Below are 25,940 nucleotides of genomic sequence, written 5' to 3' on the forward strand. Positions count from 1 at the left end.
AGGCTGTCTTTTCAGGACTTATATAATTTCCAGTGAAATAAAACAGAAATGTGTTTTTGACAATCTTCTTTTTAACTTGTATCTTAATGACTTGATGTCACTTTCGGGTGAGCGAGATAAAATTTTGCTTACCCCTTCCCTTCTTTACTCTCCCTTTTCCCCAACACAGAAAATAAAAGTGTGTAAGTACCATATGTAGATGACATGGCTTTACCATCTCCTAGATGTGGCCTAAAAGATAGCTGTCTGGACAACTATCTCTAAGACAGGTAGGCTGGGTGCGGTGGGTCACACCTGTAATCCTAACACTTTGGGAAGCTGAGGTGGGAGGACAGCTTCAGGCCAGGAGTTTGAGATCAACATGGCGAAATGCCATCTCTGCCAAAAAAATACAAAAATGAGTCAGGCATGGTAGCTCACGCCAGTAGTACCAGTTACTCAGGAGGCTGAAGTGGGAGGACTGCTTGAGCCCAGGAGGCGGAGGTTGCAGTGAGTTGAGATCATGCCACTGCACTCCAACCTGGGTGACAGAGCAAGGCCCTGTCTCCATAGAAAAAAAAAAATCCCAACAAAAAACTCCCCAAATCAAAAAGAACAGCTATATATGGGCTCTACTGACTTCCAATAAGAAGGAGTGCAAAACGGTTATTCTGAATCAATGAATATGAAATCTATATCTAGTCATTTCATTTAACTCTCATGATTAACAATACAAAACAGCAAGTCATCCACATAATTCAATATCCATTTTATAACCAGTTTCTTTAGTAGCTATAGTAGCAAGTTACAATATTTTATGGGCTGTACTCAATTTTTTTTTAAGCTACACCTGCTGTAATGGTATGTACTAAGAGTTTTAGAAAAGATTGCCAGGGTAGGCATCTTCAATTGCTTTACATTTTTTCTAGGGTGAAGGAATTACTGTCAGGCTTTATGATACAGAACTCTGGGGTTCTCTTTCCCTTTCCATTTGTGTACTAGAGAAAATCTGATATTGCTTCCTGAGTGGTGTATTAACCTAGCCTGATTCTTGGTCCTTTGCAGGGGAAATGGCCTTCTGTGTAGGCTTATATCCTTTTGAAGCCACTCAGTTGTCAAAAGAGGGTGTCAATTCTACCTTGTGAATAAGTTGATTGTTACAGCTCTCCACTTAAGGGGCAAGGCAAACTAAAAGCTCTCCAGATACTTGTTGAGCAAAACTGAACCCCAAGCACATTGTTGCTGATTACTTATGAAAAGCTCTATTGAAACAATACTTAAGGAGAACCGCCTGGAGGTGGAATAGTCTGAATATGAATAGAATTGGTTTGATACACTCTACAGAATTACTGAAATGGAATCATCCTCTGGCTTCGTGCCATTAACTTACAGCATGACATATGAGAAACAGCCTCATGAAATCTAAATATTGTAAAAATTACTGAGGATACTTTTCATTCCATTATAGCACTGTTTTGTAAAATGAAGTCCAAGGTCTCAATAAAATAAGAAATCCACAAGTACCAGAAAATGTTTACCTTTTATATTTTCATTTTGATAAAATTTTTTAATATTTAGAAAAATACAACATGTTTTACAGTAATAATTCACAACTAACAGAAATTTTCTACCACTAAGACTTGAGTTTTTTTTTTTTTACTGGGGTTTATAGACCCTTGGATTCTCATGCCTGAAAAAAATACTTTTTGCTCCTTAAAGGGATCCACATGTTATTCAAGTTTGAGGAACACTGTATGATAGTGCCCTCTTTTTAAAGATCATGGGAAAATTGTTCCTTTGGTTTCAATACCAAAAATAGCTGTCCTCTGAGCAACTAAAATGTTTTGTCTCATGAATACTGTGACTCATGTAATTAATTAGGTTTTCTGCTTTGTGAGAAAGACCAGCACCAAATTTGTTTCCTGTTTTTAGAAAATGTGGAAACCTTTTGAACATGAAGTTTGTATTCTTCATTCCTGGCTTCATGTTATACTGCTTGTGCTCATTTGTCCAATTTGTTGACTTCCCCAAACTTTTTTTTAAAACTTAATTTTCTCTCTTACTATATACATATATATATTTCAATGCAATCTTAGACTTTTTTGTATGAATATGCAAACACATTTTGTATGGAATACAAATACATTTTATAAACATTTTTATTGCTAAAATTAAGCATCAACATTTAAAACCCTCAATTTTAGTCTATGAATTTAACATTTAAAGTAATAAAATTAATGTTTGGGCAAATAATCTAGAAATAAATTCTTGTTCAAAATTTTACATATTGCTTTTTGTGTCTACAAGTTTTGCCAGGTGCAGTGGCTCACACCTGTAATCCCAGCACTTTGGGAGGCCAAGGAGGGGTGAATCATTTGAGGTCAGGAGTTCGAGGCCAGCCTGGCCAACATGGTGAGACCCCATCTCTACTAAAAATACAAAAATTGGCCAGGCATGGTAGCACCTGTAGGCCAAGCTACTCAGGAGGCTGAGGCAGGAGAATCACTTGAACCCAGGAGGCAGAGGTTGCAGTGAGCTGAGACTGTGCCACTGCACTCTAGCCTGGACAACAGAGCAAGACTCCATCTCACACACACAAAAAACGTTTAATACCACATCCTTGATAAGAACTATTCTAGGGCCAGGCGCAGTGGCTCACATTTGTAATCCCAGCACTTTGGGAGGCTGAGGTGTGTGGATCATCTGAGATCAGGAGTTCAAGACCAGCCTGGCCAACATGGTGAAACCCTGTCTCTACTAAAAATACAAAAAGTAGTCAGGTGTGGTGGCGCACGCCTATAATCCCAGCTATTTGGGAGGCTGAGGCAGGAGAATCACTTGAGCCCAGGGGGTGGAGGTTGCAATGAGCCGAGATCACGACACTGCACTCCAGCCTGGGCAATAAGACTCTGTCTCAAAAAAAACAAAAAAAAATGAATTATTCTAAGTTATAATCTTCTTTATTTTTATTTATTTACTTTTTTGAGACAGGGTCTGGCTTTGTCACCAAGGCTGAGTGCAGTAGCACAATCACAGCTCACTGCAGCTTCAAACTCCTGGGCTCAAGCAATCCTCCCACCTCAGTCCCCTGAGTAGCTGGGACTAGAGGTGCCCACCACTATGCCTAGCTAATTAAAAATTTTTTTGTGTGTAGAGATAGGGTTTCACTATGTTGTCCAGGCTGGTCTCAAACTCCTGGCCTCAAGCCATCCTCCCACTTAAGCCTCCCAAGTAGCTGGAATCACAAGCATAAACCACGGCACCCGGCTAGGATTATTCTAATTGCTAGAGCTGTCCAAAAATCTATCTAGTAAGATTTTTAAAAACCTCATTCAAAGGTTACTTGTAAATTAAATTAAAAATATGGACTTAAAGGACTTAAGTCAGTAAAAGTATATGACAGATCAGTAAAAGTACATGACAAAGTTAATTTTATTATTGCTTAAAAGTTATATAGTTCCCAAGTAGATTTCACAAAATGGATGTGATGTAAGCTGATTCATATACATGTATCATCTTGTTTTTCTCACATTTACTGAAAATTATACAGACATGTGAGGAAATCTTACCTTCTTGGTAGGCTCCATCTGCCATGACTAAATGAAGAATCTTGGCATAAAGATGCTGATGTTCATTTCCCAAAATATTTTGAACTATTTTTGAACAAATTTCAATATTTTCATCTTCATCTTCATGAATAGCCTATACCAAATTCCCAAATATAAATTAATATTTGAATAACTTTCTGTAATTGCAGACTTCACTTTTTATTTATAATAAATCTAATGACCAATACAGATTATCAACATTTCTTCAACCTTCAAACATAGCACATTTTAAGTGTTTTAATTGACTTTTCACTTACCTTTATTTTCTCATAAACCTCAAAGAATTTTTCAAAGCCCATTTCCTGCTCCAGATGAAGTCTCAGTTCCTCTAAATGGTTAAAGACACTATCGCATTCACATTCACTAGCAATTTCACCATCACTGTTATCTAAAAAACAAAATTAAAATAGAGATTTGATTTAAAAAGACTGAATAACTCATACCCTAATAGACTAAAATTCTATGACAAATGAATAATGCCATTGAAATAGACTACTTCTACTTTCATTATAAACAGTTTTTGTCATTTTAATATTTGTCCTTTATTTGGCAAAAAAAATGTATAAATCTGTCTAAACAAGAATGTTACTTTTCATGTATAGATATAAAAAATAAATCAGGTTGGAATCAAAACACTCCTAGAGATGTTACTTAAATAAAAAAAAAAAAGTGGAAAAAGCACACCTCCATGTTTTGCTTTGAAGCAGCTAACCCTAACTAGTATTTTCAAAAGTTGGTAATAAACACGGGAAACACCATGGAAAAGCCTGCAAAAGGTAGACAACCTAAGACATACATCATTACATTTCAGGAAAGCACCTAGAAAGTATAAATGGCCAATATGTTTTGTCATGTACGTGCTCGACATACTTTGAAAAAAATTACTTAGTCTTTTCACATTAGCTTTTCTTCCTAAATTAATATCATATAGTTATTGAAACAGACACACTTTCTATGCATCTTAGGGGTAATATTATGAAAGAGAAAGTTTACAAATTTACGAAAAGAGTTTTTAGTACTTTAAAAACTGCTTTCAGTGTTAACTCTGCTGGTTAATATATGCAGAAGCTCTTTCTAAAATATAGAATGCCAAGAAAACAATGTTATTATCTTTATTACTGGAAAAATCAGTCAATAAATGGAGATTAGAATAAAAATGCTTCAAAAAAGCATTGACATAATAGGAAAGAAATAAAAACTTTAATAAAAAATGGAAAATCACACATTTGTATGAAAAGAAAAAGAATGAAAAAAGGGGAGAGACCCAGAGGCATGCTTCAGTTGTATTTAAAGTTGGAAATGGTTCACAGCAGAGATTAGAAAAATACACTCTACTTGAAATATTTGTAAACTGAAAAAGAAAAAGGTCCAAAACTCTGATCATGCACCTGAGTGCCATTCTTCGTTCAGGGCACTTTCACTGCTGGGATTGTCATCTTCATCTGCCACATCTGTCCCATTTGCAGTTGGCTCCACATCACTGTTCTTCAAGACTGACTCTTCTTCTTCACTGTATTCTTCACCAGGTTGTTCCCTAAGTAACTGTTCCATCGAGGCCTGCAGCTCTTGTAAATCTGTGTCAGTTTCTTCAAACACACTGAAATTTAAAAAGTATAACTAAAAGTTTCAAACATACTGAAATTTACCAAGTTAAACAACTAAAACTACCTCATACTGAAATTTTACTTCTACTCAATACGTAGGCACTTCTTAAAAAATCCTAATAGTAGATAACAAAAAATCTGGAAAAAGCCTACATTGTTTTTCACCGGTAAATTGAGGATGAATACAACTGATAAATATATCACACAACACATATTCTGGAATATATAAGCCAGAAGATGATTTGTTTAAAATGATCCCAACTTGCCAAAGAGAATCACATAACTATCGATGTTACTCATTGCTTAAATTCTGAAACAATGTTTTGATATTTTAACAGGCCAGACTATAGAAGTTTTTCTAAAACAAATAATAGTAAATTATTTTCTCTTTTATGGAATTTTGTAATTTTCAAAATATCCATGTGGCTAATAGCTAGACACTATACAAAAGGCTTTCCATATACATGCCCATTGGGCATTTGAACTTTTAGAAATAGAAATACTTAGGAAATTTTATATTCATGTTAATAGGATGACCCAGTGAATAAAATGGTCACCAGAAATCTTATCTTTAGATGCTTATTCTTAAAAATGTTCTAAAATACATAATAGATTTTCTGTGTAACTAGCCTATACCAACCATCATAATTCTTCACTGGAGAATTTTGTTTCCAAAGTATTGGTAAGAATATTCATTCTATTTTCATGGGATTATAGATGCTGGAATGAAATAACTTATACAAATAATACCTTACATTTATATAGAACTTTTGTTTTTTAAACATTTTTATCCTACTACTCAAATTTTATCCACAAAAAATCACTTTAGAGACATGAAAACTATGAACCAAAATGTTTAAATGACTTGGTCAAGGCCACATAGTCAGTAAATGACAGAGCACTGAAATCTAGTCTTTGACCACTTCTGTAATATCTGAGAAACATACTCAGAAAAATTTTTTTCCTCTTATGATTTGCTTCTTTATCCTAACATGGAATGTAAATGGAAAAGTTTGTAGACTAAAGGAGTTAACTGATGTTTTAGATGTCTGAAGACTTCTAAAAGAGATTATGTACCTAAGCCGGGATTTCATCTATCAGGAAGGCAATGCTTAACAGGACACAAGGGCTAATTAAGGCCTTTCTAAAAGTTTAGACTCCAATCAAATATTTACTGAAGAACTAAAATATAAACACTATTGTGTAAGACTGTCAATATAATTTCCATTAATAGAGTAAATAATCTTTTTATGTAGAAATATCTTTATTTTGTACTTATATGTACAAACGCCTACAATTTGACTTGTAGGAGCTATAGAAAAGCAAAGCATCTAATTAGAATGAGAAAATAGTGTCTAATCTCTTGAATCATCCTACTAGTAGCATTTAACTTAATATATAATTACAAGACTAATTTAGGCTGGGTACAGTGGCTCATGCCTGTAATCCTAGCCCTTTGGGAGGCTGAGACAAGAGGATTGCTTGAGGCCAGGAGTTTGAGACAAGCCTGGGCAACATAGCGAGACCCCTCTAGAAAAAAAATTGCAAAAAACTTAGCTAGGCGTGGTGGCACGAGCCTGTATTCCTAGCTACTAGGGAGTCTGAGGCAGGAGGACTGCTTGAGCCCAGGAGTCCAAGGCTGCTGTGAACTATGATTGCAGCACTGTACTATAGCCAGGGTGACAGAGTGAGACCCTATCTCCCCCAAAAAATTTTATTATTAAAAAAAGATCAACGAAGTATGCACACCTGCTATGTACCATTACTACAATGAGTAAATATTGACCTGTTCATAAAATCATCTAGTGGCTGGCCTAGAGGAATTAGTACCCTCTGCAGATGGTATTCAATTGAGGCAGCTAAGCTTGCCACTGTAAGAAAGTATGAGAAGATTAAGATCTTTTACTAAATGAGCACCAAAAAACTTTAAGGTACTTAAAAAAATTTGGTCTTGAATTCAGTTTTTAGTTGGCTATCTTATAAAATCTTGACTAAAGTTTAGACAAAAAAAAATAATAATAATTTTCCAAAGACAAACATCAAGTGAAATATCCCTATAACAATATGAAATAACGTACTTTAAAAACAACTTGGTTTTCGAATTTTTCAATTAATACTAAAGGCTTCTAACTTAAGTTTTAAAATAAAATTCTGTCATCAATTGTTCATTAAAAGAACACATGCATAACACAAACTTAGCAGCTTGGAAGAAAGAAAAAATAAAAGAACACAAGCCACAAATAAGCTGTAGTTCATTCAGATAAAAATAAATGATTTCATAAAATTTTTGGGAAAAAAATTTTAGTTAGCAGTTTGTCAACAATAAAAATCCTGAATGTTGTTATGTTCTCCAATAGGATTAATAAAAACACAATATTTCAGTGTTTAATGACTACAGTCAAGTAGAAGAAACAAAAGTAAAAAGGTAACTTTTCTTCTAGATTGTAAGGTCATTAGCAAAAATCTACAGAACTCTAGGAAAAATGAAAAAGGCAATCTTTTAAAAATGAAGTTTCACCAGAAACTTAAGAAGCAAGGGCAAGGCTTAAAAAAGAACCAAAAACCAGAAAATAAAATGTGCCAGCGGCATCGATCCTACGTAACTCAATACAGAAGAAAACATTATGAGAGTGATATAATACTTTCAATCAGATCAAAATACAAGTTCTTTCCAAAGGTAAAAGTAAAAAGCAGAAACAAGTTCAAAGAAATTACAAAATAAATTATAAAAATTCTAATATTTTATAACTTTTTATCCAGGTGATTTGAACACACTGTACCTTCTCACCTTACTCTAGGAAACTCTGGTTTTATTACACCAAAAAGTGTGTAACATTTGTCTAAGACAGTTGAGAGGGCTGACCAACACTGAACAAGGTAAAGGAAGGTTCTTTTTGTTTTTTTATGGAAAAAAATTTTTTTTTTAATTTTACTTTAAGTTTTAGGGTACATGTGCACAATCTAAGGGGTTATCACTCCTTACAGCTCTCAGAGGTATTGCTTGTTAAATTTCCCTCCTAGATTCAGGATTCCCCATGAATCACAAAGAAAGCAATTTTGTGAAAACAATCCAATTACATGCAGAAAACATGTGTGCACTGACACATGTGCACACACACACATGAACAAAACTGGTCGACCTGCTAACTCCCCATTGGCATGGCTTTGAAATCATATATGGCAAGAGGTAGATGTGGAGCTTTCTGGTCATTCTCCTGGGAAACTGTAGAGCACAGTCATGAATTGCTTAACAACAGGAAGCATTCTGAGAAATGCATTGTTATAGCCAATTTCATTGTTGTGCTAACATCATAGAATGTGCTTACACAAACCTAGTCAGTATAGCTAACTACATACCTAGGCTACAAAGTAGAGCCTGTTTACTCCTAAGCTACAAACCTGTACAGCATATGACTGTACTCAGTACTGGAAGCAACTGTAACACAATGCTATCTGTCTATTCTAAATATATCTAAACATAGAAAAGGTACAGTGAAAACACTGTATAAAAGATAAAAAATGGTAAACTTTATAGGGTACTTATCATAGGACATTACTATACACTACTATAGACTTATAAACACAGTATATGCTTAGGCTACACTAAATTTATCAATTTATTTTTCTGCAATAATAAATTAACTTGGCCAGTCCCAGTGGCTCACACCTGTAATCCTAGCTATTTGGGAGAGTGAAGTGGAAAGATTGCTTGAGTCCAGGAGTTGGAGGCTGCAGTGAGCTATCATCATGCCAGTGCACTCCAGCTTATTTATTTTTCATTTTTGAGACAGGGTCTCACTCTGTTGCTCAGGCTGGAGTGCAGTGGCATGATCATGGCTCACTGCTGCCTCAAACTCTTGGGCTCAAATGATTTTTCCACCTCAGCCTCCTGAGTAGCTGAGACTACCTACAAGGCATGTGGAAACAAACCTGGCTATTAAAAAAATTTTTTTTGGCTAGGTGTGGTAGCTCATGCCCGTAATCCTAGCACTTTGGGAGCCCAAGGTGGGCAGATCGCTTGAGGTCAGGAGTTTGAGACCAGCCTGACCAACATGCTGAAACCCCATCTCTACCAAAAATACAAAAATTAGCCAGGCGTGGTGGCAAGTAATCTCAGCTACTCAGGAGGCTGAGGAGGAGAATCGCTTGAACTTGGGAGGCAGAGGTCGCCGTGAGCCAAGATCATGCCACTGCACTCCAGCCTGGGTGACAGAGCAAGAGTCCACCTCAAAAGAAAAAATAAATTTTTTTTTGTAGAGATGGTGTCTCACTATGTTGCCCAGGCTGGTCTCACATTCCTCCTGCCTTGGCCTCCCAATGTGGTGGGATTGTAGGTGTGAGCCACTGTGTCCAACCCACACTCCAGCTAGGTGATAGAGTGACACCCTGTCTCTTAAAATAGATAAAAATAATATACAGAAGACATAAAAGCAGAGGTTAATGATTAAAAAAAAGAGCTAGGTAAGTTATCCCCTCTTTTTTACATATAAATTCAGAAACTCTTTTAATGCTGTTTACTAATGACATTATAGCCACTGTGTCCAGCCTGTATTCCAGCTAGGTGACAGAGTGAGACCCTGTCTCTTAAAATAGATAAAAATAATATACAGAAGACATAAAAGCAGAGGTTAATGAGTTAAAAAAAAGAGCTAGGTAAGTTATCCCCTCTTTTTTACATATAAATTCAGAAAATCTTTTAATGCTGTTTACTAATGACATTATACTTACATGTCTTCAGAATCAGAAGGTCCTTCTTTAATGTTTTCATCTTCAATTTCATCTATTTCAAGATTGTCTTGACGAACATCTCCTACGGTGGGAACATCCATAAGGGTTCTGAACAGCTTTGAGAGATCTGGAAGTGAACATGTCCTTAACATCTAAAATAAAAATCAACAAATTTCTTATTAGGAGAAAGATAATTAAAACATAAAAATGAGAGAAAACTAGAACTAATCACAATTTTGTTACATATGTGTAAAATGTAACATATAAAAAGTTTTTTTATATATGTAACATATATATGTAACATATAAAAAATATATATATATATTTTTAGAGCTAGAGGATCCAAAGGTGACTTGCATAAAGCTAGAACCTAATTCTCTTGAATTTCAGCTCAGTCTTTTTTCACAGGAAACTAAACTTGTGAGTTATGTTTGGGTTTTAGCACAGGAATTCCCTGATACCACCTTTGAAAACTGGGAGAAGTGTTTATTTAGGTATAAACATGGAATGGACTTGGAAATCTGTCAGGAATCAGGCAGTGCTAGAAACTATCTGTTTTCTCCTTCTCACTCACGACCCATTTGTTCCGCTTTCACGGTGTTTCTGCTAAGTGTTCCTCTCATCTTCCTATGGTCAACTTGCCCCACACAGTCTTGCCCAAATGCTGCAGCATGTTAGTCTGAAGTTTGGCTAAGCACCACCACACATAACTGACAGCCCCTTGTATCACTCAATTGTAGGAACTGCTGATTAGCCACATACTGGTGAAATGAGGGGCCTCAAATCAGTGCAGAGAGAAGCCTATCAGTGCTTCCCTGACCATGGGACTGTGAGTGGAACCTTTCTCACTAGAACAGAAGGCAGGAAGGACAAGCACTTTGATGTCAATGCTGAGCATAATTTGCAGGAACAGTAAGAAGAAACTCAGCCAACTGAGTTGAGGAAAGAAAAAAAGCACAGCTGAGGTGTTGAAAATGTGAATCCGTACTGGATAAGGGATAATAGAAATAGCCTCTGTCCAACAACCTTTCAACAATTAGAATGTGATAGATAGACAAGGCTATGAAACAACTAACTACATACATAACTCTCACAGCTGGGTTAACCCTAAAGGAATCTGTGAGATTTGAAACATGACTACTAAGGCACTGATAAGAACTCTTCACCAGATGGGAGCCTGTGAGGAAAACACAATGTTTAGCATATTAATGAAAACTTATATACTTGGCCAATTTTATTGGTACAATCTGTTTTTGAGAATAATGAAAAAGATTTCCATTATTTGAACATAATTTAAATGTTCTCACACTCAAGGGAAAAATCGTTATGAACTACAAGTTGGTAAAAGTACACTGCTTGTTAAATCACTTAGTGATGGTACTGGAAGTATTTCTTTTGCTGAATTTCCCACTGTCTGTAGAATTCACACTTTCCTTGTTTATTATTTTAATGGTTTGGACCATGTATATTATAAACTAGCAATATGTACCAGAAATGGTTTCCTTAGGTACCTGCTAATCAATAAACAGCACATATGCATTATATAATTAAATTTGGGGTTACTACATAAAATAATGCAATATTTTTTAGGCTGAGATAAATTCTGGCCCTGGTAAAATAAACTCAATTCTAGTTTACTCCTTTTGTTAACCAAAATAAATTTCAAGTGGTCATGTAATTTGACAACTTACCTCCTGGAACAGGTTTATACCAACCCACTAATCTGACAGCTATCAACTGGATAAGCCCTTCATGTTCACAGTACTCCTTGATAGACTAGTAAGTCCCCCCACCTACTCCCCCATGGCTTTGGAGGCTTTTTTCCCTATAGATTTATTTATTCTCATTTTTCCTTTTCATATTTTAAACAATACAAATGATTTTTTTTATTTCAATAGTTTTTGAGGTAAAGGTGATTTTTGGTTACATGGATACGTTCTTCAGTGGTGATTTCTGATATTGGTGCACGCAACACCCGAGCAGTGTACACTGTACCCAACGTGCAGTCTTTTATCCCTCATCTACCTCTCACCCTTCCCCCCTTGAGTCGCCGAAGTCCATTACATCACTCTTATGCCTTTGGGTCTTCACAGCTTAGCTCCCACTTATCAATGAGAACATACGCTATTTGGTTTTCTATTTCTGAGTTACTTCACTTAGAATAATGGCCTCCAGCTCCATCCAAGTTGCTGCAAAAGACATTATTTCATTCCTTTTTATGGCTGAGTAGTCTTCCAAGGTACGTATATTCCACGTTTTCTTTATTCACTCGTTGGTTGATGGGCAGTTAGGTCGTTTCCATATCTTTGCAATTGCAAATTGTGCTGCTATAAACATGGGTGTGTGTGTGTCTTTTTCATATAATGACTTCTTTTCCTTTGGGTAGATACCCAGTGGTGGGATTGCTGGATCGAATGGTAGTTCTACCTTTAGCTCTTTAAGGAAACTCCATACTGTGTTCCATAGTGGTTGTACTAATTTACATTCCCACTAGCAGTGTAAAAGTGTTCCCTTTTCACCACATCCAAGCCAACATCTATTGTTTTACTTATTGTTTTTCTTTTTTTTGAGACAGAGTCTTGCTCTGTCCCCAGGCTGGAGTGCAGTGGCGCGATCTCGGCTCACTGCAAGCTCCGCCTCCCGGGTTCACGCCATTCTCTTGCCTCAGCCTCCTGAGTAGCTGGGACTACAGGCGCCCTACACCACGCCCAGCTAATTTTTTGTATTTTTAGTAGAGACGGGGTTTCACCATGTTAGCCAGGATGGTCTCGATCTCCTGACCTCATGATCTGCCCGTCTTGGCCTCCCAAAGTGCTGGGATTACAGGCGTGAGCCACCGCGCCCGGCCACTTACCTGTTTTTGGACTTCTTAATTATGGCCATTCTTGGCCGGGTGCAGTGGCTCACTCACACCTGCAATCCCAGCACTTTGGGAGGCCGAGGCAGATGGATCACTTGAGGTCAGGAGTTTGAGACTACCCTGGCTAACATGGTGAAACTCTGTCTCTATTAAAAACACAAAAATCTGCCAGTGTGGTGGCATGCGCCTGTAATCCCAGCTACTTGGGAGGCTGAGGCAGGAGAATTGCTTAAACCTAGGAGGCGGAGGTTGTAGTGAGCCGAGATCACACCACTGCACTCCAGCCTGGGCGACAGAGCGAGACTTTGTCTCAAAAAATAAAGAAAAGAAAAGAAAAAATTACGGCCGTTCTTGCAGGTGTAAGGTGGTATCTCATTGTGGCTTTAATATGCATTTCCCTGATGATTAGTGATGTTGAGCAGTTTTTCATATGTTTCTTGTTTATATTCTTTTCAGAAATGTCTATTAATGCCCTTTGCTCACTTTTTGATGGGATTGTTTTTTTCTTATTTGTTTGAGTTCCTGGTAGATTCTGAATAGTAGACTGGTAAGTTTGAAACAGGTTATTCATCTTTGGTCAAGAGAATTTTATAAAAGAACACTTTCAGTTCTATAATTCTGATTCTACTATTTCTATGTTGTTTAAACAATATTCTATAGTTTTAATATCCACAAAAAGAACTCTTTCTGAAAATAACAGCTCATCTATAACACACTGGCTGAGATCTTCATGTACAGTATTTTTTTTTTCAAGATTGTTACATGATAATTTACACATCTAGCATTTGGTACCATTATAAGTTCAAACAGGAGTACCAAATTTTAGGAAACCTTAAAATGTTTCCTTCAGTTTTTATTGCTGGTTAGTTCTATTTTTTTTCAAAGATGTAGAGAAACATATAACATAGTGAATGAATTCAGTATTACTTGCATTAACAGAACTTCAACTAAAAAATTCTACTCATAGTAATTCTAATACACTCTTTGAGCTCCAGTATTTTTCATATAAAATCAGGAAGTAGTAGTATTCTAGTTACACTACCAAATGTCTTATGATGGACACATTCTTTTAGCCTCTGTTTACTGCAATTAAATGCTGCTGCTGCTCTCTAAGAATAACCACTGTGAATATCTGCTTACTTCAACCGATACATCAGGCTCAAAATGGATTTAAAACATTAATTTAAAACTTAGGAACACTTCCCAAAGACAAAAATTACGGACATTATCTAATAATGGAATACTTTAACAAATCAAAAGACATCTAAGGTACATGTGCTATTTATGTGAATTATACATTCATCATTTTTTGCCACTTTGCATTTGCTTTAACAAGAAATTCTCAAGTTTTCATAAAGCAGATCATTTTTTTGTCCCACTCCCTATCCACAGAACACATCTGGTCTCTCTCCATCCCTTATTCACTATCCCCTAAAGTGAAGAAACACGAGCTGACTGAAGGCAAATTTGCAAGAGGGCACTGACAGTAAAGTGTGTGTCCTTCCTGTTCTCTTTCTCAGATCTGCCTGCCACAGAGTGTGTGCGTGCGTATCCTGTTTCCCTTCTGTTGCCTTGTGGTGAGCACAAATAGCTCAGGCCTACGCCTGCTTTCTAGGGACAAGATAGGTCTCACTCTCAGTCTTCCTGCTACTGGAGCTTGATGGATATAAAGCTCTTATTGTGGGTTAAGAAAGTTTGTTCTTCAGATTCCAAGGACTAGTCACAGGAGGAAAATATTGAGAGGCATGATTTTAAGCCAAACCTAAGGCCACATTTTCCAGTAGAGCTTTATCAAAAATAAAACTGATATTATGATCTTTATCTGACTCTATTTTTTTTTTTTTTTTAGTCTCAGTGGTCATGACTGACTGACTTATATTTTATTTTTGAGATGGTGTCTCGCTCTTGCTGCCCAGGCTGGAGTGCAATGATGCAATCTCGGCTCACTGCAGCCTCTGCCTCCTGGGTTCAAGCGACTTTCGGGCCTCAGCCTCCAGAGTAGCTGGGATTACAGGCATGTGCCGCCACACCTGGCTAATTTTGTATTTTTAGTAGAGATGGGGTTTCACCATGTTGGCCAGGCTGGTCTCAAACTCCTGACCTCAGGTGTTCCACCTGCCTCGGCCTCCCACAGTGCTGAGATTACAGGCGTGAGTCACTGCACACCGCCATGACTGACTTTTATGTCATTTTAACTGGCTGCAAATGAAGTGGAGTTAGCAGGTAATTCTCTATCTCAACCTACTTCAGATTTCATGGGATTATAAATTAATCAAATCTTGAAAATGTTACTATTTTTAAAAATTCCATTGGAAAAATATATTGATAATTTCCCTTTATAAAATCACAACAAATGCAAAGTTTTGATTTGAATCTTTACAAACCTATGTTGGCCTACAGACCATTCACTGCATTATGAAGGCATGTATCCCAGCCAGGAGTAACCTCTGAGGAATACCTTCATACCTGACTAGCAGGCTCCAGATAAGGAGGAGAAATGGGGCTCATGTACACAAACTTTCTTCACTAGCCTTGCTTCAATTTTTCCAATTATTTATGATCATGTATTTTATCATTTATATTCTCCAATTAGAATGGCTCCATGAGCAGAGGATTTTTGTCTGTTTTCCTCACTACTGTTAACTCTAGCATTTAGAGTGGTACCTGGCACATAGCAGATATTTAATAAATATTTGTTGACTAAATGAATCTGCCTTACAATAGCTTGACTCAGAGTGAGAATTTGTGGGCAACTCCACAAATTCATCCTGTATCCACTTGTGAGGACAACCAAACAGGCTTAACCAGTTTGTACTTTTAAAGAAACAGTTGTTCTTTAGAGAAGAATACAAGACTGTATCACTGGCTTTAAACTGCTTATCACCTGTCCTACCTTTGTTTCTTCTGAAGGTGGAACAGTGTTTCCCTAGACTGATTTCTACTTTTAAAAGCCTCCTTGTAAAAGGCTTTTAATCAAAACCCATCACTGATGAATTCTCCCTAACAGGACAAAGAAAAGGAAAGCTTTATGGTAGAGAATGAACTTTAAACCATGCTTCACCATTATCTTCTACTATTGGACTTCTTTGGCCTGCCTATACCTTTATCAAAACAAAGCTAGATTTGGTAAGGTACAAAGCAACCACATGTAAAAAGTCCCTAACTGATGAATACATTCTATCCACTGATAGAATTTATTGGGCATTAACCATGTATTAGATGCTGAGGATATAATGGTGATTGAAAATAGATCCAGTCTTTGCCTTATGATACTTTTAGGGAAGAAAAATATCCTGACTCTGGGAATTCTGAACATAGAAAAGTTATCACCACAAGACTAGAGAACAGTTGTGGCAACAGAAAGGAGAAAGGCTTATCTACGTTTCAGGAGCCATAGGTCTCTGCTGGAATAAGACTGAGAGGGGTGGTGGGGGGAGGGAGGGAGGAAGAGAGAGGAAGAAAGAGAGGGAAAGAGGGAGGCAAGGAGAGAGGCAAGGGAGATTGAGATTGAATGTCTCTTTGATGGAGTTCACTTAATGAACAAATATAAGGACCCAAACTTTTCAGACTGTTCTGATTTGTGGGCTATAAACTCTACCTTCTGTTCACTTAACATCATAGGTGTGTGGTGTTAATTTAGTTTATGTCACTTTTTTTTTAAAGCAACTCTTTACTCCTTCAAACTATAGTTATTAATATTTAAATAGTACAGCTAATTTTTTTTTTTTTTGAGACAGGGTCACGCTCTGTCATCCAGGCTGGAGCGTGACGGCATGAACACGGCTTACTGCAGCCTTGACTTCCTGGGCTCAAGCGATCCTCCCATCTCTGCCTCCGAAGCAGCTGGGACTAGAGGTGGGTGTGTGCCACCATGCTTGGCTAATTTTAAAATGTTTTTGTAGAGGTGGGGGCTAACTATGTTGCTCAGGCTGCTCTCAAACTCCTGGGTTCAAGTGATCCTCCTGCCTCGGCCTCCCAAATACACCTAAATTTTATGCCACATTCCTCTACAACAAATTCCAAAGTTTTCCAGGCAAGTTTTCATATAAGATGGCAATGCAGGAAGTACTTCACCACAGGCAACAGTTATTTTATGAATAAATAAGTGATAAAGTACAAATTTAAATGACCTTTAATCAGTCTTTGTCTCTGTGTGAGAAACTAGATCAGTCACCTCATGTCACTAATACGTCCTTCAAAATCTATACTGATCCACCATGTACTTCACCTCTCTGCATTGTAATTTCCTCATCCGTAAAATGGAGACAACAGTATTAATGGCCAGGTGCGATGGCTCACGCCTGTAATCCTAGAACTTTGGGAAGCCGAGGTGGGCAGATCGCTTGAGGTCAGGAGTTCAAGATGAGCCTGGGCTACACGGTGAAACTCCGTCTCCACTAAAAATACAAAAATTAGCTGGGCATGGTGGTGGGTGCCTGTAATCCCAGCTGCTTGGGAGGCTGAGGCAGAAGAATCACCTGAACCCAGAGGGCAGAGGTTGCAGTGAGCCAAGATTGTGCCACTGCACTGCAGCCTGGGTGACAGGGTGAGACTCAGTCTGAACAAAAACAGTATTTGTCACATAGGGTCACTGTGAGAAGTAACTATATGTCAAGCAGCTAGAACAGTATATAGAATACTATTCATACTATTAGCCAGCTACTATTACACTAATAATTAGTATACTTTTATTAGATGGTAGTTCATAGCTACTTCCCAAGACAAAAAATATTAATAATTGTGAACAATGCAAGGCTGTTTTCTGATCTAGAATCTATTTGCTTAAATTTTAATGAGTTACAGTCATACATCCTACTAGTAACAACAGAAAGGTCAGTATAATCTGTATTACTCTGATAATATGGTCTTAAATTTGGTACTTCTTTTTTATTACCACCAAGAAGTAAACCTCATATTAGTAATCTCTTTCCAAAATTTTATTGGTTGTTATCCAATAACCCTATATAGAAAATTAACTTGTTTAATATTTATGAATGTATTTGACAAAGTGTTCATAATTGTAATTCATCAGAAAGGCACAGCACTCAAAATTAGACATTCCTTTGAAGCATTATTAATATTTTTAGTGGTCAAGGAGGGTTGACATATAACATACTTTAAACACTTTCCAGGCTGCAATTAGGTCAACTGTGATCTGTGGCAGTATTTCTCAAGTGGGGAATGTGGACCACCAGCAGCAGAATTACTTACGGTGTGTGCCAAAAATGCATATTCCTGACCTCTGCTCCAGATATATTAAAACAAATACCTTTAGCTGTGAGGTGTAAGAATCTGTATTTTAGACAAACATTCTTCACGGTACCCACATTAAAATTCTAGAGTTAAGGCTATATGGTTTAAAACAAACTGATCATTAATCAATGGTGAATGAACAAAATGGTGAATGAACAAAAAAGTTTTCATGAAGAAGTTCTAGTTTTGATTAAAAATTGCTCTGTAACCTACTTTAACAAAAATAGCTGGCCACCTAACCAAACTAGAGTCTGAGTTACAGTCATTTTCCATTATAGGTTATCAATTGTATCACCGCCTCATTGGATTTCAAAGTTATCAACCAACAACATAGAGCACTGCATGGCATGCCTTTGCAGTGCCATCCACTGAATAATCTATTAAAAGCTATATTGCAAAATGTGACTCTTTCAAAGACAAACAGCTAATTCATTTGGTAATCTAGAATCTGTCCTTATGTAAACAAAAGCATGAGAAAACAACAATTTTAGACTATTTAATTTTGACCTTTCACAAACTAACCTTCAGTGATCTCCAAGTGTGATACCTCATTTTAGTAAGTCACTTTATAGCTACCTTATAAAATCATCTACTGTATTTACAGTAGAAGTAGTACTGAAGTTATCATAGGTTACAGAATTTATTGGCTGTTACAGAAAACTCCAGTAGAGAAATCCCTTACAGAGGGAAGAAGCAAGGAAAGCATTTATTCCCCTGAACAATTTATATATTTCTCTCCTCTGGGGAATATGGCATAGTTTATAATTCTCTTTTCATTTTGACTATCATTTAAACAAATCTTATACTCAATATTAATAACTATGTAAAATAGTTGCTAATGGCTTGATTTGTAATGCATATTCTCTAGTACAATCTATATATTTGGATGTGATCAATTCTTCTGGTCTGAAGCAGGGTATAAACAAATATGTAGTATAAAAGGAAGGGCAGTCTTCTGGAATAACTGCTTATTCCAGGCCTATCCCTGCTGATGAATGGTGGCAATCAAAGCATTACTCTGACTGCCAGTCTTACAGTGATCAACTAAGCCACTAACTACTATCTGTATGGATGCTTAAACATGTAATTCAGTTTACTGTCATTACATCTTAGTTTCTGCAAAAAGAGCCCTTTAAAGTACATTAAAGGAATGCCTTAGTATCATGATCCAGAGCATATTCCCAGAATTCTAGGGCTCTAAACACGTGGCTAAGGAACTGCTTGTGAGGTGGAGGGCGGGGTAGGAGCAAGAGGACAAGGGAGGACTTGGGCCACAAGAACAGCTCCACTTTTATCTCTTTAAGACATTGTATTCCTTTATTCAGAAAAAAGAGAGACTTTTTCTAGAAAACGGGGAAAAGATCCCACAGATTCGAAAACTAAGGACATCTGCTTAAGGACAAGAATGACTGGAATCTTACCTCCTTCACATCTGAGTTACTAAGAACTAGTTGTAATGTCTCAAACACACTGTGCTATCTCATGTTCATGACAGTTAATTTTGCTTTAAATGTTCTCATGTCTTATCCACCATGCGAACTTTTTCAGAAATCTTTCTTTGTTCTAGGACAGACTTAATCATTTCCTCTTTAGTGGTCCCACTATCCCACATTCATCTCTCCATTACAGGAATTATCATAATGCATTACAAGTGTTTTCACTTATTTGTTCCTTCTCAAACCGTGTGGTAGATAAGATTTACAACAGCATCCTCAAGGTAAATACAAAAGTCTTCTAGAGAATTTCTTATACTACTCACCAAAGTAAACTGACAGCATAAAGATATATTAATGTACATCTTATTTAAGACAGATCTTTGGTGTACTGGTTAACAATCCTCACATTAGGTATCACAGATACATAAATGTCTAGATGTTATCAGAGGTACTCAAAGATTAAGATTAAGCACATGTGGCTGGGCATGGTGGCTCACGCCTGTAATTCCAGCACTATTGAGAGGTCAAGGTGGGAGGATTGCTTAAGCCCAGGAGTTCCAGACCAGTCTGGGCAACATAACGAGACCTTGTCTCTACAAAAAATTTAAAAATTAGCCAGATATGGTGAAGCATGCCTGTAGTCCCAGCTATTCAGGAGGCTGAGGCGGGAAGATTGCTTGAGCCCAGGAGGTTGAGGCTGCAGTGAGCCGTGATTGCACCACTGCACTCCATTCTGGGAGACAGAGCAAGACCCTGTCTCTAATATTAAAAAAAGATTAAGTGCATTCATGAATATACTTTAAATAAAATCACAGTAATAAGTGAAGCTGAAAAGCTAACAACTACTATATTAGAGTTTCCTGTATGTGCTATAGTAGCATGTCCTATAACTGTAATTTTCCAACCTGATGGCCAAGATGATGATGTCTGACATTAGTTGGGATGGCAATTACTAGAAATGGAAATGAAGCCAAGGCCCCACTTGAAAGACTATAATGAGTCACAGTTGAAAAGAACAAAGAGAAGCTCATTTCAGGCCAGGGTAACAGCAAGTGCAAACTCTACTGCAGGAAAGGGACTGGTGTATCAAAGGAAAATGTTAGAATGAGCTAGAGAAAAATGTTTTGAGGTCAGACAGAGAGGCAGTCAATGCCATATGAAACCTTGTAGACCATGGTAAAGAGTCTGAATATTAGTTAAGCAGCAGAAAGCCACTGAAGTCTTAAGCATGGCTGTGATTTGACATAATTTATAATACTAAAAAAGACTTCTGGTTTCTATTTGGACAATGGATTTCACACAGGCAGCCACAGAATTAGGAAGAGAAGTTAGGAAACAATTGGTTGATATGACTAGTAGATTGATGAAATAGATGAATAATCTGTAGGAAAGAACTAGAGTAATAAAGTTGAGTATCATCAGCATATAAATTATATTTAAAGCCTTGGGGTCAGATTACTTGGGAAGCAAATGCAAACAGAGAAGGCCCAGGACATAGCCTTAAAATATCACATTTATCTTCTGGAGACTTCCAGCTCTGGCCATGAGAGAGTAATAATGGCCAGACTTAACTTCCACAGGAAACAACTAGAAAACTGGACAAAATACATGACATTGTGTTTAGATATTAAACAATAAGCAGCACAAGACTGTGATCCCTGTGAGAAGGGAAATGAATGAAGTAAACCCTACCACTAAACTGGCTTTCTGCCTGGAGAAAATATCTGGACTTTGGGTGCAGCCTTGCTAGACTGATGAGACAAAGATCAAAGTCCAGGGAGGTAGAACTAGAAAAGAGAGATTCATTAAAATAAAACAAAAAAAACTTCAAAACTTTGCAAGGTAGTTTTCTTGAGTCTTTGATGAGCACAGGCCATGAATATGCAGAATGAAACTTCACAAAGCTAGGCCAAAACAGCTGGGGAGTTGTAAGCTGAACAATGCTCAGAGCTCATGCAGGTAGGAGATGATCAAACTGACCGGGAGGGAGGTGTTTCCTCAAGATCACCTGTGATGTACAGTGGAGGCCCTAGAGGGTCATGCCTTGGAAATAAGTTAACTAGCTCTAGAATGAAGACAACTTTACACTTGTCCTAGCAAAGCTTAAAAACAAAGTTTAAAAGTGTAAAATAGATCCACAAGTAACTTGACTAACTTAAACCCAATACTCTTTACAGGAAGATAGTAATAACAAAAAAATCAGAGACCTAGGAATATAATATTCACAAGGTCCACCTTCAAATAAAGAATTATAAAACACACCCAGAAGTAGGACAATATGATCCATAACCAGTAGAAAAATAAGTCAACAGAAGAAGATACAGAGATGATGGAACTCGCACATAAGGATATTAAGCCAGCTATTTTAATGGAGTATTAAAGGATAAACACGAACATAATGTGGAGAGAAATGAAAGACACAAAAACAACTTCTAAAGATAAAACACACAATATCGAAATAAAAGGTTCACTGAGTGGGATTAATAGTATATTATTGCAGAAAAAAGATAAGTAAACATGAATACATACTAATAGAATTTATCCACAAGGAAGTACAGAGAGAAAAAAAGACTGAAAACAAAATGAACATAATCTTAGTGACCCGTGGAATGGTATCAAAGAGTCTAACATATGTAACTGGAGTCACAGAAAAGGTAGTAGAGAGAGAGAAAAAATATTTAATTGAAATAATAGCCAAAACTTTTCCAAATTTAATGAAAAGTATAAACCTAAGGGTCCAAGAAGATCAATGAACCCCAAAACAGGATAAACACACACACATTACAGACCCCATATACAGCATTGGTCCCATAAGATTATAATAAAGCTGAAAAATTCCTCTCACCACCTAATGGCATTGTAGTGTCATAGTTTAATGAATTACTCATGTTTGTGGTGATGCTGATATAAACAAACCTACCACACTGCTAGTCCTATAAAACCTTACTCCAAAAACCTTACTCCCCAAAACCCTTACCAAAGCATTTAATAATCAAAATGCTAGAAACCAGTGATAAAAAGGAAACTGTAAAAGAAGCCAGAGAGAAAGATACTCTATATACATGAAGATAAGAAAGCTCACATATTTCTTAGAAACAATGCAACCCAGAAGACAATATAATTCTATATCTAGTGAAAATATCCACTCAAAATGAAGGTGAAATGAAAACACTTTCATACAAACAAAATCTGAAAAAAAAAATCATCATCAACAGGGCTGTGTAAGAAGTGTTAATGGAAGTTCTTAAAGTGGAAGAAAAAGAATACCAGATAGAAACTTGAATTCTGCACAAAGGAACAAAAAATGTCAGAAATAGTAAACATGTAAATATAAAATACTTTCCAATTTCTGACTTCTGTAAAAGATAAATGAATGTTTAAGCAAAAATAATAAAAATGTATTGTGGAATTTATAACGTGGTAGAAAAAATACCCGACAACAATACCACGAAGGACAGGCAGGACGGGAATGGAAGTACAGTCATGCTTTGCTTAACAAAGATACGTTACGAGAAAAGTGTTGTTAGGCAATTTTGTCATTGTGTGAACATCATAGAGTGTAATTACACAAACCTAGATGGTATTAGCCTACTACATATCTAGGATATGTGGTACAGCCTATTGTTCCTAGGCTACAAAACCTGTATAGCATGTTACTACACTCAATATTATAGAAGATTGTAATACAATGGTAAATATTTGTCTATCTAAACACTAAGGTATAGTCAAAATACCATATAAAAGATTAAAAATGGTGCACCTGTATAGGTACTTACCATGAATGGAGCTTGTGGAACTGGAAGTTGCCCTGGGTAAGCCAGTGAGTGAGTGGTGAGTGAAATGTGAAGGCCTGGGACATTAGCGTACACTACTGTGGACTTTATAAACATTGTATACATAGACTACACTAAATGTATTTAAAAATTTTCTGTCTTCAATAAATTAACCTTATCTTACTGTAACCTTTTCACTTTATAAACTTGAAGACACAAACACACACGTCAGCCTATGCCTACAGAGGGTCAGGATCATCAACATCACTGTCTTCCACCTCCAATCTAGAAAGTCTTCAAGGGCAATAACACGAATGAAGCTGTCATCTCCTGTGATAACTATACACTATACACTGAAATACCTCCTGAAGGACCTGCCTGAGGCCGTTTTACAGTTCACTTTCTTTTAATACGTAGAACACTCCAAAATAATGATAAAAAGTAAAGTATTAAAAATACACAAACCAGGCATGCAGTCAATTATTATTGTTGTCAAGCATTAGGTACTGTACATAATTGTATGTCCTAAACTTTTATAGGACTAGCAGTGTGGTAGGTTTGTTTACATCAGCATCACCACAAACATGTGAGTAATGCACTACACTGTGACACTACGATGTCATTAGGTGGTGAGAGGAATTTTTCGGTCTATTATAATCTTATGGGACCACTGCTGTATATGGGGTCTGTAATTCACTGAAATGTCATTATGTGATGCATGACTGCCTATAGTTGTAAGGTTTTTATGACATATGTGAAGTGGTATAATATTATTTGAAGGGAGATTATGCTAAGCTAAAGATGTACCTTGAAAACAAACAGTAGAGATAAAATAAGGTGCTAAAAATACTAAATCCAAAGGAAGGAAGAATAAAAGTAAAAAGGGAACAAAAAAGTGATCAAATAGAAAACAAATAGCAAAATGGTAGGTTTAAACCCAATCATATGGTTGTGATATTAATAATTACATTAAATGTAAATTGTCTAATCAATTAAAAGAGATTGTTAGACTTGTTAAAAACAAGACTTGACTAACATGCTAACTGTAAGAAATCCACTTTAAATATAAAATGTTTGGTTAAGAGCAGTAAAGAATGTATATATACCATATAAAGATTAAGCATAAGAGAGCTGGAATGGCTATAATAAAACCAGAGAAAATGTTTCAGACAAGGTGATATGACCAGTGATAAAAGGATTCATTTCATGGTGACAAAGGGGTTGATTCATTAAGAAGACATATTGATTCTTAGTTCAAATGCAACTGAGTGGAAATTTCAACACTCCTTTTCAGTAATTGATAAGTAGAAAGAAAATCAGTAAGGATACTGAACAACGTGATCAAACAAAAAGGATACTTCATAAACATAAACTTATCAATTCATCCAGGAGACATAAGAATGCTAAATTTTTATTTGCCCCAAAACAGAACTTCAAAATACATAAAATAAAAACTGACATAACTGAAAGAAGAAATAGTTATCTATACAAGTTGATATGGTTTGGCTATGTCCCCACCCAAATCTCATCTGGAATTGTAATCCCCAAGAGTCAGTGAAGGGACCTGGTGGGAGGTGACTGGATCATGAGGGCAGATTTCCCCCATGCTATTCTTGTGATGGTGAGTGAGTTCTCATGAGATCTGACAATTTAAAAGTGTGTGGCACTTCCCCCTTCGTGCCCACGCTCTCTCCCTCTCTCTGTCTCCTGCTGCCATGTAAGATATGCCTTGCTTCCCCTTCACCTTCTAGGACCATGATGGTTAAGTTTCCTGAAGCCTCCCCAGCCATGCGGAACTGTAAGTCAATTAAATCTATTTTCTTCATAAATTACTCAGTCTCAGGTACTTCTTGAAAGCAGTGTGAAAATCAACTCTACACAAGCGTAGTTAAGAATTTCAATCTTCTCTCAGCAATTTATAGTTCAAATAGATTAAAAAATCAGTAAAGATGCAGAAGACTTGAACACTATCAACCAATTTGACTTTATAGACATTCATAGCATATTTCACAGTAGAAAAACACACATTATTTTTAAGAAATTTGTTAGAGTAGGATCCACCAGCAGTGGAGACAGAAGAGTGACTACTGAGTTCAGAGAAAAACTAGGAAAGTACAATATAAAGGGAGCCAACAGATAAAGTGAATTTAAAAGTACAGCATATATGAACTCTGAAAAGCTAAGAAAGGTGAAAGAGAAAACGGTGCAGAGAATTTGGCAACATACTGGTAACTGACTATCTGAACAGAGCCGCTTCAGTGGACGAGCAGGCTAAAAGCCATGCTGGAATGTATTGGGAAGTGAATGTATGTGGAAACTGCAATGAGACTGCAACATAGTCAAGATGCTTGGTTGCAAAAGGGGATAGAGAAATGGGGTCGTAGGTAAAGAAGGATACTGTGCTCAAAAGAAGTTTGCTATTTTTGATGAGATTTATTAGAACATATATGTTGAGTAAATGATCCACTATAGAAAAAGTTGATGACACGGGTTAGAGTGGCAAAATTAATGGAGTCAGTTCCTTGAAGAGTGAGGAGGTGGGATCCAAAGCACAAGGGGAATTTCCTCAATCAAGAAAAAAATCCCACCAGTAGTATAACTTAACATTTGCAAAAAAGAGTTTTAAACATGCTTATAAAAGGTTAAATTATCCCACCTTAGTAAACAGATTATATAAATATTTATAGAACGGGCAGGGA

At 36.7% G+C, this 25,940-nt stretch overlaps 1 protein-coding gene across 21 annotated transcripts in view, besides 2 other annotated features; it reads right to left on the reverse strand.

Moving 5' to 3' along the window:
• Positions 1-25,940, reverse strand: part of NEK1 (NIMA related kinase 1) — a 219,775-nt gene that overhangs the window by 3,868 nt on the left and 189,967 nt on the right. For all 21 annotated transcript variants that reach the window (NR_164630.1, NM_001440625.1, NM_001440624.1 and 18 more), the window contains 4 exons: positions 9,920-10,071; positions 4,976-5,184; positions 3,845-3,975; positions 3,549-3,681 (listed from right to left, as the gene is read on the reverse strand). Coding sequence is in view for 20 of the 21 variants with exons in the window: in NM_001440625.1 (NP_001427554.1) it covers positions 3,549-3,681; positions 3,845-3,975; positions 4,976-5,184; positions 9,920-10,071 (625 nt within the window). In the remaining variant the exon portion in view is untranslated. The remainder of the gene's footprint in view (positions 1-3,548; positions 3,682-3,844; positions 3,976-4,975; positions 5,185-9,919; positions 10,072-25,940) is intronic.
• Positions 14,246-14,435: an enhancer, noted in NCBI's record as "active region_22136". NCBI's record gives its function as "activates an Ori minimal core promoter by ATAC-STARR-seq in GM12878 lymphoblastoid cells {active_cell/tissue: GM12878}" and the evidence as "EXISTENCE:reporter gene assay evidence [ECO:0000049][PMID:35858748]".
• Positions 20,455-20,534: an enhancer, noted in NCBI's record as "active region_22137". NCBI's record gives its function as "activates an Ori minimal core promoter by ATAC-STARR-seq in GM12878 lymphoblastoid cells {active_cell/tissue: GM12878}" and the evidence as "EXISTENCE:reporter gene assay evidence [ECO:0000049][PMID:35858748]".

This window comes from Homo sapiens, chromosome 4 (assembly GCF_000001405.40).
Source record: "Homo sapiens chromosome 4, GRCh38.p14 Primary Assembly".
Lineage (NCBI taxonomy): Eukaryota > Metazoa > Chordata > Mammalia > Primates > Hominidae > Homo > Homo sapiens.